Consider the following 22,397-nt stretch of genomic DNA (forward strand, 5'->3'; position numbering starts at 1 on the left):
ACTGATTAGGTTAGGCCTGCCCACATTATTGAGGGTGATCTCCTTTACTTAAAATCATCAGATTGTGGATGTTAACCACATCTACAAACTACCTCTACAGCAACACCTACATTAGTGTTTGATTACATTACTGGGTGCTATGGCCTAGCCGTGCTGGCTCAAATCTATTACAGTGTCCTACTAATTTTTCTGTGGCATCCTAAACCAGAAGAAATACTAAACATTTTATTTATTAAGTCCAAACAATTCACTATTTGTATCCTAAAATCTTAGTGACCATTTGAAAACATAATACATATACGTTGTAAAAATTTATTTCATACATAGTCACAATTATTTACTAATGGATAGCACACAACTTCTCAAGCCCTAGAATAAAGTTGGATACCACCACCCTCATTTCCTGCTCCACATGATTTTCACCTGCTGCTAGGGAAATGGAAAGTAAGGAAAAATGCTGCTTTGCAATGATATGATGCTATTAAAAGGACGGTAGTACTATTTAATGTTGAAACTGTGAACTACCTCCAAGTAGTTTCTGCACTTTTCTACAGATGTCAAATTTCCCTTGAAAATTTTAAATCTCATGGTGCTTCCAAAAGCTTCCTGTTTTGCCCAAGTGAGCCCTGTCACAGTGAATACGAGGATATTTTGTACTTTGCATAATAGAATCAAAATGCTCCCATGTTTTGTCGTCAGCTCTGTAATGCATAACCACAGTTTTCCTGGACTGTTTGCATGTAGTAAGAAAAGTTGCAGCATTCAGATTTTCTCTCAAGATCTTTCTATTCATTATCTTTTAAAAATTGGTGCTGAGAAATACAATGAATCTCTCTGTGTGTGTGTAATGTGAGTGTGTGTGTATATGTGTGTAGTTGTGCATACAAATTCCTGATTATCTTTTGTGTTGAGACAGCGCTTTAAAATGTCTAAAAATTTTATCGGTATAAATTGAATAAATTGTATATATAGTTAAAACAGGCAGAAACTTCCTTTATTTACAAATAACCAAGTAATTTACAAGTTTAATGATTTTATAACATACCAAGGCCAAGGTTAGATGTGAGAAAAAGAAAAGATAGCTTTTCTCACTCCAGATGCTTTCTGCTTTCTAAGACTGCTTTGCCTTCCCACACTGCCCACTCCTCACCTCCCATATGCTTTATCCCTTGATTATTCTGATCACACCTTCTTCTATGCTCATCCTCACCCCTAAACAGTTCAGCTTCTCTGAAACAGGAAAGTCAACCAAATGGTAAGGGCCAGAAACACTGGCAGAAGAACTAAGAAGTTTCTTCTGTGTCATCTAGAGTAGCATGTTTAAATTCTCTCTGCATAACCATTGGACCTGATTTAAACAATTAGCTAATTGGTCCCATTTAAAGGAGCTATTTTTTGCAGAGTGAAAATTTTAGAACTACAAGAATTAGCATTTAAAGTTTTTATCAGGAAATTGACATCAGCAAAGGATGACAATAATACTGGTAGTTTGAATGATAAGGTCCCCTAAAGTAGAATGTTAATTGAATTTCCTAAAACCTGTGTGAAAGTTGGAAGATTTCTGATTATTGTGTTGAGCAACTTCACTAAACAAGAGCAGCCCTGAGAGATATGAAAGGATCATTTATAATACCTCTTTACACTGAAAAATGTTGAAAAGTGCTTATTTGGAGGTTTAGGGTATTTGAACTTAAGGAAATGAACTGGAACATACATTTTAAAAATGTGGCTTCCCTACATTCTGCCATTCCCAATTAGGTTGTATAGGAAATGTATGAGACTAAGAACAGTCCAGGTCTATTAACTCCAGTTTAAATTATCTTAGCTATCAGAAACTCTAGCTAAATTCTAAAGTATTCTAAAGTATTTCACTTCCCTCCACCTGTTTCCTTAGGTGTGGTTAAATTCCTTAACATCCTTGGCACCAGATGAACAAACTGTATGTTTATTTGAGGAGACATGTCGAATGATGAGAACACTGTTGCTTGGTACCAGATGTGCTTGTTGACTATGGGAATTTCAATAATTCTAGGATGAGAGAACTCTGACATAGACTGTATACTCTGAAGAGGGCCAACTCTGAAATAAATATTGCCCTCTGATCAATTGGAATTTGGTGTTTCAGAAACTGAAGCTCTCTGTTTTGTGAGATCTTGCCATCTTCTTTTTTGGTGTGAACTGGTTTTTATTGGGGTGTAGGACACGGGGTAGGAAATGTCACCTTGGCGTATGGCATGCCTTACACATTCTAATCTTCCTGGGGTAGTTGATGGAACTATTTCTTCTTCTTGAAGTTGCTCTTGCTGTCAGCCACCTCTTTAGGTCCACTGCTGACCATCCTGCTTGAGAGAGAAATCTTCCAAGGATTCGTCCAAGAACTTACTTTTTCTTGGAGACATCCTGTTGCTTGCCCCTTCAGGATCACTAACTGTTTCCTCCTTGGGGGATGATTTCACCCTATTGGGAAGCAATGTTCAAACAGAGGAAGTGGCTGCTGAGATCAGTAGGAAGCTGGAGAAACAGGAGAAGAAGCCTTAATGAAGGGAAAGAAATGACTGGCTCTGCTTGGCCTCGCATCTGCAGAAAACAGCAGTAGTATTCTGAAGGAGTATGAGGAGATGGGTGAAAAACCCAAAATAAGTAAAAGCAGAAGCTCTAGGAGGCTCCTCAGGAGAATGGAATGGAAGGCCCATCTCTCTCTTTCTCCAAACTCAAGAAAAAGAAATATTTTTCCAAGGAGGAGTTTGTTAGTAGCAATCTTGCCATCACCTTTCAGCTTTGTAGATTTTTACTTTCTATCTACTTCCTAGGAAGGACAAAAATAGTAACTTCCCTCTGCGCTCCAGAGCTCTATAAAAGCCAAAAGTTAGTTGGCTGAAGTCTGTGAAATGTGACTCACTCTGGGCACTTCATTTCTGTTGTTTGTCTGTTTGTTTGGGATGTGCATCGCAAGGTCCCTGAGTGTCACTTCTGAGGGCGGAGAGCTTGCTGTAGCAGACCTGCAGAGGCTTGCTTGTGGGGTTAACGAGGCCCTCCTGTCTCCTCCTCTTTCCCACCACGCCACTCACCAGGTCTATTCCTGGCCATTTTCAGGCTCAAGGTCATCCCTGGAGGGAGTGGGATCTGGCAGAATCACATTTCTGCTGTCACCTCAGCATCTTGTAGTGAAAATGAACATCTGGGCAAGCATTTGGGAAAATATCTTGTGAAGAGCAACACGTAAGTTGAAAGAGGCATGCAGAGTGAGGAGCAGCCTCATCTCTTCTTTGGAAAACAGATGACAATTTATGGTCTGATCATATGTCCTTGAGCTCATTCTGCAACTTCCTGGTAGAACTCCCTTCTTTCACATTTACAGTTTCTCTTTTTTATTTTAGAGCTTGTGAAGAGCTCTGTAAAAAGGTGGGGACCCAAGGAACTCACTGGCATTCACTTCAAGTGCCCTAAGAAAGCATCAACCTGTGTAATCGTGGTTATGTGGCCCTGTGTCTGCTTTTGTATGACATGAACCTACCATAATGATTTGCCCATAGAAACTTTCCAATAAAGATTTGATGAATAAGGGTATAGCTATTGTAGTTTCAGCTTTTCATGTTCTGCATTTTTGGTCTCTTATCCTGATTTTATTATTAGTGGTCCTGGGAGTGTCTGGCTCCTTTTCAGTTGAGCTAAGTGTTGTGTCTAATTATATATTAGACATATTATGAAGAACCTTTGGCAATTTGAGAAAGGAATATGAGTGGGAAACTCTTAAAAGGATTGCACTTTCTCCTTCTTCAAAAGTTATAACTTTGGAATAATTTCATTGTTATATCAAATACTTGTAGGTGTCAGAAGGTAGTTCTGCTGAGAATAGGAATTCTTGCTGTTTGGAGAAATTGAAACAGAAAGGGATGGAGTTGGATTCTTCATACAGCAAAGTAGCTGCCATGATTTCACCAAGTAAATATTTGAGGCACTGCTGGTCACATGGTCTCTGCCATAACTGCTCTGCTGTTGTAATGCCAAAGTAGTCATAGACAATCCATGAATGAATAAGTGTGGCTGTGTCATTATCAAACTTTACACCTAAATTTGAATTGCATTAAACTCTCACATGGTCAAAAGAGTCTTACGATATGTTTTCCCCAACCATGGCTCACAGCTCCCAGAAAAATAGGTGATGGACTGTGTATCAGCCACCATTTGCAGATACTTTTTTAGGAAAAAAAAAAAAAAAAACCAAGCAGAACTGATTTTCCTTAGCTTCTCTGATCATTCATAATTGTCAGAATTTTAAGGAATATCGGCAGGCTCAGATCAGTGGAAGAGAAGAGCTACACTTCAATGTTTCAGTTATCCCACAGCCTTCTTCCTATCTAGTAACATGTTACAAAGAAAGCAAGACTCAGACTGAATTCAGCCACACATTCAGACATTTACTGGCTAGTAGACCTCAGTGATGAGCCTGTATGTTTGGGAATGTCACAGTACTCTCTCCCTCATGCTCTAACAAGCACTTTGCATGAAAGATTTACTCCAAGGCTGACACAGTGATCTTCCAACATCGGGATGCTTCAAAGTTCCAGCGATGTCTGTGAGCAGAGTTTCCCCTGGGTGGTGTGGGAACACGGGACTAGCATCCCAGATCAAGGAATTAGGTTGCCAGGCCTCTGTGATTCTCAAGTCTCATTCATGCAGTGGGAGGAGAGACTATAAAACCTTTTGGGCCAAATTCACTTTTTCAATTTTTTACTTTTTAAAAATTGGTAAAATATATATAATATAAAATTTACCATTTTAACCATTTTACAGAGTATGTTTAATGGCATCAAGTGCATTCGTATTGTGTAATCTTCACCATTATCCATCTCTAGAACTTTTTCATCTTCCCAGCCTGAAATTCTATAATCGTTTAACAGTAACTCTCCATTTTCTCCTGCCCCCCAGCCCCAGGTAACCACCATTCTACTTTCTGTCTGCATGATTTCGACTACTTCGGGCACCTCATATAAGTGGAATCATGTTGTCTTTGTCCTCTTGTGATTGGCTTATTTTGCTTAACATAATGTCCATGTTGTAGTATGTGTTAGCACTGCATTGCTTTTTATGGGGAAATAATAGTCCATTGTATGTGTATACTAGAAGTTGTTTATTCACCTGTGGATGGGCATTTTGGTTGTTTCAACCTTTTGGTTATTGTGAATAATGCTGCCAACCCCATAGCTTGAACAACACCAATTTCACCTATGAACATTTATTTTTAACATCTCTTCTGCCCATTAGTAAATCCTCATATTGATTTAGTTAATACTTTTTGAAAGCTTGCCATAGCCACCCCAAGTGTATAGATTCCTGTTTGAAGTACTGTAAATGGTAACTGTTCCTAAAGGTATAGATTAAAGTTTATATACACACATGCATACCAGTGTTTATACGGAAGCCTTTTAAAGTAAATAACTCAAGGCAGTATTACACAGGCAACAACATTTTCATTTTGTCAATTTGTTTGTTATTCCCTAAACAATTTGAAAATATTCCACGAGAGTTAACTGTTAAGCTGCTGGTCTCTTCTGAATGAGGGATAATAATGAGTGGTGCCTGCTTAGACTTTGTGATGTGAAAGTTTCCTGAAGACACCTCCATCACCCGCGCCCCAAATATCTATGTCTCTTTTCCTCCCAGAAAAATTTTCGTAAGTTTGCTGTTGTCATAACTTAGCAACATTAGATGATCAGACATAGCTTAGGGACATTAGCAACTGTTAATTACTTGATCTTGCTAAACCTTTGCTCTTCTTGCCATGATATGAGGAGGTTGTACCACCTTCCAATAGATGGATAGTTCTTGTTAATTTAACTTTTATGTCTGGAAAAATTTTGAAAATGGTGAAAACTATCTTGCATCTACTATACTTAGTTTGTATTTATTCACTTAAATTTAGAAAGAATTAATAGAAAATAAATGTGCAATGAATTATTCTTTGTGGACATCAATCAGTTATCAATTCCAATAATAATTAGATAATAATAGATTGATTATTTTGAAGAAACCTATTTCCTCTTATCTAGTCATTTTGTGTGTTTACACGTGGAGCTTTTGTATTTTTACGTATTAGAAATTATAATAGTAAAGAAAAACTTTTGATATCCTCATAGCAACATTTTAAAATCATTACTTAGATATATTTCATATTATAGTTTATAAAATTAAAATATCTACTTTAATGAAAATTTGCTAAGCTCTGAGCTAAACCTTTTCCCTATTCTATCTCCTAGCCTGTTACCATCATTTCCATTCTTACAGATGAGGAATTGAGTTGTTAAGCATTTCCTTCTCACTTCACATAGTTAGTAAGTGGTAAGGTCAAATTACAATGTCACCTTTTAATACCCATATTAATGTAATTGTTACTTAGATATCACACTAGAAATATGAAATTAAAATAAAGAACTGAAAATATCAGGAAGACTTGTTATTTTAAAAATCTCAAAAAATATAATACAAAAAATTTTCAAAAATGAACAGCACTTTCATACTGAGTGAAGGAAGAGCAAATCATGGTATCTTGCAGGATGAAAGGTTGTCTGTATTTTTGGACATGAAATCATTGCAGTTTAAGGAACACCCAGCCCATGTGGAAACATAAGCTGGAACTACAAGCCCTTTCTGGGTTTATGTGGAAAAAAAAAATGTAGTGGCCATGTTTCTGGTTCATTGTTAAGCTGTCAGGGTAACCTTGATGTCTAGATACTTAACTTTTTCTTCTAAGTAGTAGTAGATAAAAATTTCCCAGAGATTTTTCTCCATGTGTGTAGAAGTTTAGAGTCATGGAGGTATATGTAAGAAGCTGCCTTACTAATTCAGTGCACTATTAGATTGTTCATAGAACTGGAAATGTTCTTAAGAGGTCAGCTCATTTCTTTATGTTTATATGTATTCCTGGGAGTAAGAAACCTAGAGAGATGAGGAGATGGAGAATAGAGAGATAAGTATGGAGAGAGAAAGTGAAGAGACAGCAAGATAATTTAAATCACTGACAATTGTGCTCACATGCCCCAGGCCATGAATAAAACTGGGCCAGGATCAGCGTTTTGCTGCCTTAACTTTCTTAAGGTGATTGAAACTGAAAATAGTATTCAAATAGTCACGCAAAGAAGTGGGAGGGCTTCCGCCATATTCCTAAGAAAGAAATGATGAAATTAACTGAGAGCCACAGAAAAACATCAAGCAAAGTAGAGTTAAAGGAACTGACTGAGAAAGTCACCTACTCTCTGGGTGATATTCACAAAACCCTGTATTGGGTACTCTACTGATGAATTTAGTATGTTTCCTTCAGGAAAGATTTTCTCTTTATGCACTGCCCTTAACATCTATTTCACCATAAACCATAACTCCACTGAATGTTCTATTTTTTTAAATACTCATGGGTATGTAAAAAGAGAACATGATCATTTATTACAATATTCTTTTTTTTTTTTTATTATACTTTAAGTTTTAGGGTACATGTGCACATTGTTCAGGTTAGTTACATATGTATACATGTGCCATGCTGGTGCGCTGCACCCACCAACGTGTCATCCAGCATTAGGTATATCTCCCAATATTCTTTTGTTATTAAGAAAAATAACAAATGACAATATAAAAGTCATTAAAACACTTAGAGATTTTGATTGTGGATATTTGATTTTTGTCCTTATAATTTGGGCTTGATATCTTATTAAAAAGAAAATTAGTGATTGATGGACCATTTGCTTTTGATAGTCAACTTATTCTATCCTAGGGTCTTTAGCTCTAGAACCATGCTTCTCAGTGGGATGTGGGTATCATAATCACTTTGGGAAGAATTTCACAACTCGCAGTGTTCCATTTTGGTGTTGTCGAAATCATCACGTGAAAGATGATCGGGAATACCCTTGTAGTTGAACAGGTTTAGTTATAATTTATTGCAAGACCAAGCATATATCATGGAGAACCATGTCTCAGTAAGAGGATCTCGGAAAGAATTTATTATAGGATATGGGTTTTGGTTGTGTGTTTTAGGGGAGGGTCCATAGAGTCGGGCTCACGCGGAATTGGATGCTGTCAGAAAGCAGAGTTAATTCTATAATAAGGTAATTCTCTAATAAGGCATTTCAATAAGTCTTGCTGACAAAATGGAAGACTAGCACAAGGATAAATCTGTGATTAGTAAAGAAGTCCATCATATTAGCCAAGAGAGGAAGTGCTTGGTACTTTTTTTTTTTTTTGAGACAGGGTTTTGCTCTTGTTGTCCAGGCTAGAGTGCAATGACGTGACCTCAGCTCACTGCAGCCTCAGCCTCCCAGGTTGAAGCAATTCTCCTGCCTCAGCCTCCCAAGTAGCTGGGATTACAAGCATGCGCCACCACTCCCGGCTAATTTTGTATTTTTAGTGGAGACAGAGTTTCTCCATGTTGGTCAGGCTGGTCTCAAACTAACGACCTCAGGTGATGTGCCTGCCTTGGCCTTCCAAAGTGCTGGGATTACAGGCATGAGGCACCGTGCCCAGCCGCTTGGTACTTTTTGAATGGCACAGTAACCTTGTTTTCTGTGCTTAGACGAAACTATGAAGTGGCCTTACTTGGTCGATTTTTTTTGTGGTCTCAGAGTAGTCTTGTCTGAGGTTGGTATTCTGTGAGAATGTTTACGTGTAACAGCAGAATGAATGCCAGGCTGGCTTCTAAAGGTCAAGGGCTGCTTGTTTTTTCATTCTTCACAGCTACCCTCTGACCTCCTCTCTAGCAAAACTGTAGTGACTACTAAGCTTTAATAACATATTTCCCAGTTTTTGTTACAAAATATTTTTATCATACAGAAAAAGTAAAGATAATGTATTAAGTACCATATATCCATCAAGCAGCTTAAGAAATAAATGATTATAGATAAAAGTATTGGAGTATTTCTCTGAAATCCTAATCCTTCCTAGGAGCGAATTATTAACTTGAATTTGATGTTTATCATTTTCAAGAATAATGCATTTCCTCTTCTTTTAAAAATACATATATATTTATTTTTTGTCTCCTTTTCTAGAAATTTAATAAGATATAGCTTTATTTTTATTTTGTTTTAATTGGCATAAAATAATTATACAATTATACATATTTATGGAAGGTACATAGTGATCTTTGATACATAAAATGTTTAGTGATCAGATAGGGGGATTAGCATGTCTATCATCTTAAACATTTATCATTTCTTTGTGCTGGGAACATTCAATATCCTCTTTCTAGCATTTTGAAACTATGTAATATATTATCGTTAACTATAGTCATCCTACAGTGGTGTAGAACACTAGAACTTATTCCTCCTATTAGCTATAATTTTGTATCCTTTAACAAATCTCCTTATCAAAGACCTCTTACTTTCCTCTACCCTTCCCAGCCTCTAGTATCCTCTGTTCTGCTTTCAACTTCCAAGAGATCCTTTTTTTAGCTTCCACATATGAATGAGAACATGCAATGTTTATCTTTCTCTTCTTCGCTATTTCGCTTAACATAATGTCTTCCAGTTTCATCCATGTTGCAGTGAATGATGGGATATCATCCTTTTTTTTTTATTATTATACTTTAAGTTTTAGGGAACATGTGCACAATGTGCAGGTTAGTTACATATGTATACATGTGCCATGCTGGTGTGCTGCACCCACTAACTCGTCATTTAGCATTAGGTATATCTCCTAAAGCTATCCCTCCCCCCTCCCCCCACCCCACAACAGTCCCCAGAGTGTGATGTTCCCCTTCCTGTGTCCATGTGTTCTCATTGTTCAATTCCCACCTATGAGTGAGAATATGCGGCATTTGGTTTTTTTGTTCTTGTGATAGTTTACTGAGAATGATGATTTCCAATTTCATCCATGTCCCTACAAAGGACATGAACTCATCATTTTTTATGGCTGCATAGTATTCCATGGTGTATATGTGCCACATTTTCTTAATCCAGTCTATCATTGTTGGACATTTGGGTTGGTTCCAAGTCTTTGCTATTGTGAATAGTGCCGCAATAAACATACGTGTGCATGTGTCTTTATAGCAGTATGATTTATAGTCCTTTGGGTATATACCCAGTAATGGGATGGCTGGGTCAAATGGTATTTCTAGTTCTAGATCCCTGAGGAATCGCCACACTGACTTCCACAATGGTTGAACTAGTTTACAGTCCCACCAACAGTGTAAAAGTGTTCCTATTTCTCCACATCCTCTCCAGCACCTGTTGTTTCCTGACTTTTTAATGATTGCCATTCTAACTGCTGTGAGATGGTATCTCATTGTGGTTTTGATTTGCATTTCTCTGACGGCCAGTGATGGTGAGCATTTTTTCATGTGTTTTTTGGCTGCATAAATGTCTTCTTTTGAGAAGTGTCTGTTCATGTCCTTTGCCCACTTTTTGATGGGGTTGTTTTTTTCTTGTAAATTTGTTTGAGTTCATTGTAGATTCTGGATATTAGCCCTTTGTCAGATGAGTAGGTTGCGAAAATTTTTTCCCATCTTGTAGGTTGCCTGTTCACTCTGCTGATAGCTTCTTTTGCTGTGCAGAAGCTCTTTAGTTTAATTAGATCCCATTTGTCAATTTTGGCTTTTGTTGCCATTGCTTTTGGTGTTTTAGACATGAAGTCCTTGCCCATGCCTATGTCCTGAATGCTAATGCCTAGGTTTTATTCTAGGGTTTTTATGGTTTTAGGTCTAACGTTTAAGTCTTTAATCCATCTTGAATTAATTTTTGTGTAAGGTGTAAGGAAGGGATCCAGTTTCAGCTTTCTACATATGGCTAGCCAGTTTTCCCAGCACCATTTACTAAATAGGGAATCCTTTCCCCATTGCTTGTTTTTCTCAGGTTTGTCAAAGATCAGATAGTTGTAGATATGCGGCATTATTTCTGAGGGCTCTGTTCTGTACCATTGATCTATATCTCTGTTTTGGTACCAGTACCATGCTGTTTTGGTTACTGTAGCCTTGTAGTATAGTTTGAAGTCAGGTAGCGTGATGCCTCCAGCTTTGTTCTTTTGGCTTATGATTGACTTGGTGATGCGGGCTCCTTTTTGGTTCCATATGAACTTTAAAGTAGTTTTTTCCAATTCTGTGAAGAAAGTCATTGGTAGCTTGATGGGGATGGCATTGAATCTATAAATTATCTTGGGCAGTATGGCCATTTTCGTGATATTGATTCTTCCTACCCATGAGCATGGAATGTTCTTCCATTTGTTTGTATTCTCTTTTATTTTATTGAGCAGTGATTTGTAGTTCTCCTTGAAGAGGTCCATCACGTCCCTTGTAAGTTGGATTCCTAGGTATTTTATTCTCTTTGAAGCAATTGTGAATGGGAGTTCACTCATGATTTGGCTCTCTGTTTGTCTGTTATTGGTGTATAAGAATGCTTGTGATTTTTGTAGATTGATTTTGTATCCTGAGACTTTGCTGAAGTTGCTTATCAGCTTAAGGAGATTTTGGGCTGAGACGATGGGGTTTTCTAGATATACAGTCATGTCTTCTGCAAACAGGGACAATTTGACTTCCTCTTTTCCTAATTGAATACATTTTATTTCCTTCTGCTGCCTGATCACCGTGGCCAGAACTTCCGACACTATGTTGAATAGGAGTGTGAGAGAGGGCATCCCTGTCTTGTGCCAGTTTTCAAAGGGAATGCTTCCAGTTTTAGCCCATTCCATATGATATTGGCTGTGGGTTTGTCATAGATAGCTCTTATTATTTTGAGATACGTCCCATCAATACCTAATTTATTGAGAGTTTTTAGCATGAAGCATCGTTGAATTTTGTCAAAGGCCTTTTCTGCCTCTATTGAGATAATCATGTGGTTTTTGTCTTTGGTTCTGTTTATATGCTGGATTACATTTATTGATTTGCGTATATTGAACCAGCCTTGCATCCCAGGAATGAAGCCCACTTGATCATGGTGGATAAGCTTTTTGATGTGCTGCTGGATTCGGTTTGCCAGTATTTTATTGAGGATTTTTGCATCAATGTTCATCAAGGATATTGGTCTAAAATTCTCTTTTTTGGTTGTGTGTCTGCCCGGCTTTGGTATCAGGATGATGCTGGCCTCATAAAATGAGTTAGGGAGGATTCCCTCTTTTTCTATTGATTGGAATAGTTTCAGAAGGAATGGTACCAGTTCCTCCTTGTACCTCTGGTAGAATTCGGCTGTGAATCCATCGGGATATCATCCTTTTTAAGGCTGAGTACTATTCCATTGTGTACTTATGCCACATTTTCTTTAACTGTTTGTTTGTTTTTGGGCACCTAGACTGATTCCATATCTTGGCTATTGTGCGTAGTGTTCCAGTAAACATGGGATGCAAACGTCTCTTTGATGTATTGATTTCCTTCTCTTCAGATAAATGTCCAGGAGTGGGTTGCTGGATGCTATTTGTAGTCTTTTGAGGAACCTCCATACTGTTCTCCATAGACACTATCATAGTTTACGTTCCCACTGACAGTATATGAGTTTCCTTTTCCCTGAATCCTCCCCAGCATTTGTTATTTTTTATCTTTCTGATAACAACCATCCTAACTGGGGTGAGATGATACATCACAGTGATTTTGATTTGCATTTCCCGGATGATTAGTCACGGTGAGCCTTTTTTTTTTGTTGTAATTGTTGGACATTTGAGTGTCTTTTAATTAGGAACTCAAACACCTCAACAGTAAAAAAAGAAAAAAAAATGACTTCAAAACAGCAAAAGACCTAACGTTAATATGTACTTGTAAACTTTTTTTTATTCTGCTGTTGTTTTAAGTAGGAGCTTAAGCATTAAACTACACGAAGAATCATGAGACAACCTATACTTCACACAAGGTCATAGGACATACCTTTATAAGTACTATTAAACATTATAAATGAATTTTAATCACAGAGTCAAGCACTTTGTTCATTTGTTTTCAGTGTCCTATGGTGACTTTAATAGCAGGAGCAATTTGTTGGTTTTATTTAGCAAGACATTGGGTGGATTTCCATTCTTCCCTCCACAGGCTGTGAGAAAGATTTTTGACACTAACTGAGCTGCTTCAATTGGAAATTCACATTTTATGCAATAACAGGCCATTTTAATTTCATGAAGCAAAGGATTGGCTTCTACTTGCAAATAGCACTAAAGAAAGCAGTGTTGTCGAAAGCAGTAGATAGATCTGTTGAATTAAATACAAGGCTTTCATTCCTTTCATTCTACATTTCCTTATAACGTAAGCATTAATTAAACCCATCAGTGACTTCCTTCTTTCTGGAGAATGTTTTCTGTCTGACAAGAAATGTCAACTTAGCGAATGAGACCTACCATTAAAAACACACTCACTTGGACTTAGAGAAAAGCTGATGCATACCCAGGGACAGACTTGCAGAAAGAGAACCCAAGGGACAGTTATCATCTTTTCTTGCTTTTGGTGATGGGACTAAGTGTCTTTTGCCTTACTTGAGGTTTCCCGAGAAAAGCATACATAGCTGTATTACATCTTGTGTTGTTGTATCACCTGATGTTTACTTGATGTATTAAAAATAAAAGCCAGGAAAAAATGCCACAGTATTTTGAAGTTTTAATGCACCTTCACTTATATGATGAGGAACAGAGACTAAATATCGGGTTCAACTTAAGTCAACATGTTTGGAATGTTAGATACACTGATGTGCTGTGGCCCAGATAGAGTTCATGGGGATGGCTGGAGAAGTAGATGGAACAAGCACCCTGAGATTTGAGCAAAGTGTTAGAGAAGTGAAATCTCTAACGTCTACCAAAAGTCCTTAGAATGCAATAGTGACATTTAACTTCTCATTGCAGGGGAACACTTAAGAATCTGTCCTCAGGAATATACATGCTGCACCACAGAAATGGAAGACAAGTTAAGCCAACAAAGCAAACTCGAATTTGAAAACCTTGTGGAAGAGACAAGCCATTTTGTGCGCACCACTTTTGTGTCCAGGCATAAGAAATTTGACGGTAGGTGAAATGGTTTTCACTTCAGTTTGTTATAGGTGCACTTTTCTATGAGAATCTTGGTATCATATGAAAAATATTTTTTTAAAAAGGGAGCTTTTCTATCCCTCTTAAATATTTATAGCATTGTCTATTTTTAGAAAAAGCATGAGTTTTCTTGACAGTAATTTTTTTTTTTTTAGTAATATCTTGGTAAAACCTGGTTTAACAAAGAGCTGTTTTGCATTTGTGCTTTGCCTGTGAGATTTATTGTAAAGATTTAGCTCAAGTTTTCATTATTAGAGGAATTATAATTCAGGTTTTGTTATACTGCAGCTTGTCTAGTTTTCATATGGGGATTCTCCTTAAAAAATAAGCGTAATTTAAGATTATTTGAAATATAACATCACATTTGAAGAGGAAAGGCTTGTTTTAAATGTCAGCAACACAGATTCCTTTATTTTAGACTTTGCCATTGCAATCATATAGCACATTTTACATTGCAGTTATGCATTCTGTATAAGGTTTAGACCCTCTTTTGATATCCTGATTATAAGCAGTCAATGTTATTTCTATATTCTATTTGTTAAATAAACATTTTTATATTACAAATTACGACTGAAATTTCAGCATTGAATTTTCGCATTAGAGCCTGAATAGTTTGAAAATATTCAAAAGTAGTTTGATTCTTTGTAAGCAGTATCAACAATGATAACAATAAATTTAGTATTTTTAGAAGGTGTGTTGTCTTTAGTGCTCTAAGAAATGAATGTACCTTACCATGATTTCTTGTAAACCAGACTTGCACCTTGTGGTGAACCTTCTTTTGGCTCCGTTGGTCCTACAACATTACCCTAGAGCAAAAGAGCTGCTATTAATTTTCTTCTCTCAGTTCAGTCAATGCACAGCAGAGCCAGTTTAGGAAAGGTTGGCCAAAGTTTTTATGTTTCTTTTTTATTTTCTGTGTAGTAGGTAAAATGTTCCATTTTATTGCTGTTTTAAACTATTACAGCAACACTGATCTTTTTCAAATTGGTTCTCAAAGTTACGGAAGACAGGTCTACCTGGTATTTTCAGTACAAATGATGTGACACTTTCTGTGTAAGTGACCGGAGTTTGATCTTTCTGCAAGTGTGTTTCAACATCCTCACATTCTGTCTTTGGCTCTCCCTTGTGTATAACTATATGTGGATGTATATGAAAATAATTTTTATTTAGCGGTGATGCTGTGAATGTTGTTCCCTTAAATGCAGCTAGGGAGTACTTAGGGGTTACTCTTGATTATAGGTTACAAATCCAGTGACATTCAGAAGCCCCTGATAGGACTCTGTGTTTGGAGGACTACACTCTATCACTTCAAGCTACAGCAATTTGAGCTGTTTTGTCATTTGTTACATAAAGCAGGTGATAATGATCTGTTGCCAGTGATTTTGACTTGTGTCTCTGGGAAAACAAACAAACAAAGAAAGAAACAAGAAAGAAGCTCTACTGTGTTTATAAAGCTGTACTCCAAAGTGATTTTAAAATAATTCCAGGACAGTATTCATGGTAGATGATATATATTCTTTAACAAAAAAATATTAAATATTAGGTAGCTTTATGGAGAGTTGACATTTTTAAAACAAGTAAAGCAATTCACCAAGACTGAGCCGGCCAGGCATGGTGGCTCATGCCTGTAATCCCAGCACTTTGGGAGGCTGAGGCGGGTGGATCATGAGGTCAAGAGATTGAGGCCATCCTGGCCAACGTGGTGAAACCCCATCTCTACTAAAAATACAAAAAAAAAAAAAAAAAAAAAATTAGCTGGGCGTGGTGCCAGGCGCCTGTAGTCCCAGCTACTGGGGAGGCCAAGGCAGGAGACTCACTTGAACCTGGGAGGTGGAGGTTGCAGTGAGCCGAGATCGTGCCAGTACACTCCAGCCTGGGCAACAGAGTGAGACTCTGTCTCAAAACAAACAACAAAAACAAAACCAACAAAACAAAACAAGACGAGCCTTATACTTACTTCTTGTATTATATCAATAACTTTTAATATCTTTGCATCTATAGTTTCTAATCCCACATCTGGTTTGTCTTATTAAAGAAACCTCTCTCCACTCTCTCACTTACTCCCTCCCTATAGGTATATAGGTATACTTTGAATTGTTCTAATGTGCCTAAGGGTATGATGTCAATCAGTTTGACAGGACATTGATTTTGCTAAGATTAGATCTGACCTAAGGGAGGATGAATTCTTTAGCAACCACTCATCTTATTGCAGTTGCATTGAGTTGGATGGGAGAGAAATTAAGATTTTGTTTTTTTTGGAGGCTTTCAGCCAGAGTGGGAAAAAAAAAAAGAGAATCTAAATGTGATTCTAATAATCTCAACTCCTGAAGCACTTAGACTTAATAATAATAATAATAATCATCATCATCATCAATTAAAAAGTCACTGTCACAATTTCTGCTATTTTCTCTGGGCAGATTCATGAGGGTCAGTTATACACTGGTATGATTTATTTTCTTTTGTCTCAAAGGTGAGCCTGCTAAGTCACCTTCCATGAGTGATTGTGCATTCATGTGGGTAGTTTTCCATTTGTTCCTTTCTTCCTCCCAAATACTCTCTCATGTCACTTATTGATGAATGTCAGTTTGATGTGAGCACAAAAGAAGTATCTAGGTCCAGTTATGGAATGTTACCCTCTTTGAGTTTTATTTTCCCACATAAAACCAATGGTACTATAAAAGACTTTGAGTTTATTTTTAGTAACTTCCTATTTGGTTAGTCATTTTGCATCATTGCTGGAGTCTCTTCATCCATCTTGTCTATTTTGAGGTTCTTCCTCTGTTTCTGCTTTCTCAGAGGTCTTAATTTGTCATTTGGATTGTGTATGTCTTTGTTGGCTATATACTGTTTATGAAAAACCACTGCTTAATTAAAATTAAGAAAGGTTGATGACTTTTCTTTCTATTTTTATTAAGTACAGCAGCAATTTAAATTGCATACATGTGATCCAGTCCAAGATATATTCAGAGAAGCTGAAGTCAATCACTGGTAATGATTAATCTCTGGTTATCACTTTTCTTACTGTATGAGAAATGCTTTGATTCCATTTAACTTTTTATTTTGTGGCAGTGGTGACTGTTTTGAAAATTTGAGATTCCAATACGGTTAACTTAAAACCATATTCTATTTATTGTCTTACTTTCTCTGTCTTTTTTAAATTGATATTTTGATAACATTTAGAAGAGACACTATAATTTTATAATTTGTAAAATTATAAATACTCATCGGATGGTAGGAAGTTAAAGTGGAATCAGTACGAGTTATTACCCAACCTTCCTAAGTTTCTATGCTTAGCTCCAGGATTAGCCTAGCATTCATACCTGAGAGGCAACAAATTTTAGAAATACATAATATCAATTCCAGAAATTTTAATTCTTTGGCAGAGAATTTTCTCATAGCTGTATATCTTTTTTAAGTTTTTGAATATAGAATTAAAATGTCATGATAAAAGTCTATGTAATAGAGGTTTCTTGACATTGCTTCTCCAAGGGTCTGACAAGGTATTTGTTGTTTTGCTTTTTTTCTTATTTCTCCAGCCAAATCTCAATTTCTGGCTCTCATTACACATCCCTGTAAGCCTCTTATCCTTTGGTCTGGGTCCTGGCCACTGCAAAAGTTCTCCCTGAACTATGCAGGGATGTTCTCAATATGCTCTGTAGCCAAGCCCAGCTTTTCTGTTGCTCCCCAGGATTAAAATTTTGGATGGATGAAGACCCAATCTAGTACATCAGGCAGAATGATCACATTACTCCCTTCCTTCTCACCTTCCTCTCCTCTGCCAAACACCCCAGGCAACAATAAACAAAAGCATATTAAAACGTAGACAAGGGGAGAGTCATCTTTGTGTACTCACTCATTTTTAGTATTTTTGTGTTTAGTGATTAGCCTGTCAAATTGGCATTTGTGTCTAAGTCCTCTTTTGCTGTTGGCTACCAAGTAGCTCACGTGTAAGAGGAAATGGAGAACAGGCAAATATTCAGCTAGTAGTAGTAGTCATAAGAGGCAACATCTGACCCTGTTCCCTGCCCTTCATGGATTTTTAACCCTAGGTATTTGAGGCAAACTGCAGTGCAGTCACGCAGATGTTATAATAAATGGCAGAGTCAGGATTCCATCCCAGGCTGAGCACTCCTGGATCTCTGCTCTGAGCCACCTACCACATCATCTCTCCAGTGCTTTCCAGTTCCCAGATGTGCTGGCGTCTTGTGGTCAACACCGCCTATCCCTCTATCTCACCCTGCTGGGCCTGTCCTGTCCTAGTTATTGTGGGGAGGATGTGGAAATGACTGTCAAGGAAAAGTGGAAGATTTGTTTTTAACTCCTACAAAAAAAAAAATTACCCACCTAAATATAGTCCAGCCCTCAAGGAATCTGGAGATTTGACAGGGTAAATGACTTGCCAAGTTTCCACTAAGAATGATGAATCCAAGACTGAAACCTAATACTTAAATCAAAATTAGAAATAGTCATGTTATATATAGGAAGTCAATACTTGGTTGAAATTCTCAATTTCTATTTCTTTTGAATGGATACTGTTGAAAAATTATTGATATTTCTTTAAAAGGGCAGTAGAAATATTGGTGGGTAAAGAATCTACCCATATCTTTGAGAAAGGCAGGAACAGTATTAAATTGGAATTTGTCCCTAAATTAAAGAGGAATGGGTGTTTTTTGTAAAAGCCTTTGTTGAATCAATGAAGATGTATTATTATTATTATTTTTTACCTCACAAAGCCTAGTGGTTTCTGTCTTGATGTTGGCACTAACACCCTATCCTCCAAGAATGTCTGTGGAATATGGATTATTCAGAGGCAGGAGAATTTAATTGAAGGGATATTTTGTTTAGGTTCTTTTTCCTTTGGATTTATTTGAGCTGAAATATATTCACATTTGGAGCTCCATATGAAGTTTTTTGTTTATGTGTTCTTGGTCTTATTATTTTACTTTCCTTCCTGGCTTTTATTAATGTATTTTAATGATATACATATGTCCAGAAATTTTGGCAGCCAGTACATTTTTAAAAGCAAAATAAAAATATTGAACAGTAAGTTCTATCCTTATGAAGAACTTATTCTATAGTAACACCTGCAGACTACCCATTGAACTGGATGCAGAAATAATTTATATACAATGACATAATATTTTTACACTGCAAATCTGCTTGTGTTTTGTTTTTAAGTATCATTTCTCATCTATATACTGTAGAGGTGGCAATAACGTAATGATTTTTTTAATATATGGCCTAATTTTCTCAGAGAATACACTTATTTGAAAAGGAAAAAACCCTAAATAGGTTTCCATATGGTGATAGCATCTTTCACATTTCTTGTCACAAGGGTGATATTTTTTGTATGTGTGTGTGATTTCTATTTGAAAACATTCATTTAGAGCCTACCATAGAGAAGGCACTTAACCAAGTATTGTTGTAGATTAAAAAATGACTAATAATGACTAAAATTTGGTCATTGCCTGTCAAGGAGTTTACGTTTTGGGGGAGACATAAGTATAAACCTAAGAGTAAGAAAGGCAGAATTACTTGTATCCTAAAGTAGAAGTCCATTGCAAAGAGGAGGGAGGAAAGTTTTCTATGTAGTGGCATCCAAGAAGACTTTTTGGAAGAGCTTGCAGTTCAGTATTCAAAGAATGTCTTAAGATTATGATAATTAAAGAAGTCCCAGGACGAGACAAAATGAATCAAAGATTTTGTATGCAAGTCCACAAAGTCTGTCAGACATATTGTAAATAATTTACCATTGATTTTATTTTCAACAATGTTAATGTATTGACATTTAGCATATATCTGTTAGATAGATATTCTATCACAATGTTTTATTCCTTGCACCAGCCCTTTACTGTTTTCTAACAAAAAAAAAAAAACACAATTTCAGGGCATAAACAAGAAGTGTTTATTTTTCCGTAGTACATCTTTGGGTTGACTAGAGATTGGCTGTTCTAAGATGTGCTCATGCAGGCTTGACTCTAAACTATGCATTTAGAGTCATTTTGTTCTGGTCTGGTCTACACGTAGGTTATTCTTTTGAAAGCAGTACTCTGTCTTAAGCATGTTCTTCTCTTAGTGGAGTTTGGAGATGCTAATATCGACAGGTGGAGGCAGAATGCTCCTTAAAGTCTAAACTAGAATTGCCACACTGTCTTCCTAAGGTTCATAAGCCAAAGGAAATCTCATGGCAATTTCCAACATTAGTGGGACAAGAGATTATACTACTCCCAAGGAAGTGGAGGTGGGGAAAGGAATGATTATTTCTGTATCATAATCTACCATAGTCCTTAAGTGACTGCCTCTTGCTACTTCCCAATGTTTTACTAATCACATTGACTTTTAAAAAATAGATTCCCTAGGAATTCAAGAAAAATACTTATTTTCTAAATAAATCACAGCAAGACAGACACAATTGTCTCACTACCCCCAATATCCTAACACACTAACAAATACGTGTATAATCATACACACACAAACACTACAACATACACCCCTCTATGATGTTATTAATGTTATACAGATAAATAGATGTAATATTTCTGTGGATTGTGCTGCGGCTGTCCTAAATCATTGCACAGAATTATAGGTAACTGCAATTCATAGGGCTTATAATGTTAATCATTCTAGGAAGTAATTAGCTGAATGCCTTCTGTACATTTGCTAGGCTACCAGCTCAGCGACATGTATTCCATCTGAAGGACACTCTTCTTGAAATCAGAATGCGCTGAACTGAGTTTTAGAAATTAGAGAAGCAGTCTCACTGGCATGGGAAAGTAATCTGCCAATTTCCCAAAGGGCAGATCTTCCAAAAATAAAAATCGTCCAATTAGAGATTTTGGCTTTGACAGAGCTATTGAACAGGTTTGTAAATCACAAACGCCTTTCAAGCCTTTTGTTTTTACAATGCTGAAAGAGAAGATCCTGGTAGGGGGTCCTTTAAATGTGGTGCATGTAGAACCCAGATCTTTGTACAACTGGAATATGCCTTCCTTCTCTCCTCCTCCTCCTCCTCCTCCTCCTTTCTCTGTCTCTCTGTCTCTCTCTCTCTCTCTCTCTCTTTCTTTCTTTGAACTTTGACAGATCTTTCAAAACTAAGGCTACACGCTGCTGATCATCAGCTCTGGCTTCAGTGATGAACTTCCAATCTTTTTCTAATTCTAAGACCCCTACCACACACCTCAAAGTAACTTGAAATACATTATGCTCCCAGTGTGGTTGTAATATTATCATCTTATTATCACCAATTCCCTTGCATGGTGGCTTTGCTGAGCAGCTGTTTCACAGACAAGCCAATTTCTTTTAAGTATTGCTCTATCAGACTCTGAAACCAGTTCTACCAGAAGGGTTCTTGGTAATGAATGTTAATGAGCAGACAAGTATCCTTTCTCTGACAGAGGCTCACTAATCCTTTGAGTAAGTATGGGTGAATTACAGGAGAAATTTTATTTAAGTTAAATTGATCTGCTACTAAGTAGAGAAAACTTATTTTCTTATTTTAATGAAAATCAAGAAAAAATATTTAATGGGGATGTAAATTACAGCTCCCTGGAAACATTTTTGTCTTCTGACTGGAGAACACAGTAGCTCAGTAGACTGGTTCAACTGCATAGTGTGCTTAACACTAGCAAACTCATGATCTCCAGTGAGGCCTGATCTTCAGTGGGACAGTGGGAAATGGAGTAGAAACCACTCACTCTCTCTGGGATTTGGTACCAGCAGATTCTTTATGTTCCTTAGTGATAAGTAATAGGGATAAAAAATTATTCTTTCTTCTTCCACTGAGCCAGTGTAAGAGTTCCTTTTTTTTTCCAAAACAAATAAGATAGTAAAGCCATAAGAACAGCACTTGTATGCTTTTTGTATTCTAAGAATATGAGAAAAATGATTTCAGTGAACCTTTATCTGAAAGGATATAACCATGTCCTGATGGAATACTGCGATGGGCAGGTAGAAGGGAATGAGATGGGCCAGGCGCAGTGGCTTACGCCTGTAATCCCAGCACTTTAGGAGGCCGAGGCTGGCAGATCAGAAGGCCAGGAGTTCAAGACCAGCCTGGCCCGCATGGTGAAACCCCGTCTCTACTAAAAAAAATACAAAAAATTAGCTGGGCACGGGGGCATGCGCCTGTAATCCCAGCTACTCGGGAGGCTGAGGCAGGAGAATCGCTTGTACCCAGGAGGCAGAGGTTGCAGTGAGCTGAGATTGTGCCATTGCACTCCAGCCTGGGTGACAAAGCGAGACTCCATCTCAAAAAAAAAAAAAAAAAAAAAAGGAGAGGAATGAGATGGGCAGAAAGATGATCATTGTTGAAGCTGGTTGATGAGTCTTTAGGGAGTTCATAGACTATTCTGGGTTGTGTATAGTTTCTGAATTTCCATAATAAAGAGATTAAAAGAGAGAGAGAAAGAGAGTTGGCCAGCACAGTGCCTCGT

General features: G+C 37.1%; 1 protein-coding gene across 3 annotated transcripts in view; it reads left to right on the top strand.

The window, feature by feature from the left end:
- Positions 1–22,397, top strand: part of GPC6 (glypican 6) — a 1,191,492-nt gene that overhangs the window by 314,952 nt on the left and 854,143 nt on the right. For all 3 annotated transcript variants that reach the window (XM_047429990.1, NM_005708.5, XM_017020300.2), the window contains exon 2: positions 13,783–13,941. In XM_047429990.1, coding sequence (XP_047285946.1) covers positions 13,833–13,941 — 109 coding nt within the window. In that variant the 5' untranslated portion in view covers positions 13,783–13,832. The remainder of the gene's footprint in view (positions 1–13,782; positions 13,942–22,397) is intronic.

Source organism: Homo sapiens, chromosome 13, assembly GCF_000001405.40.
Source record: "Homo sapiens chromosome 13, GRCh38.p14 Primary Assembly".
Classification (NCBI taxonomy): Eukaryota; Metazoa; Chordata; class Mammalia; order Primates; family Hominidae; genus Homo; species Homo sapiens.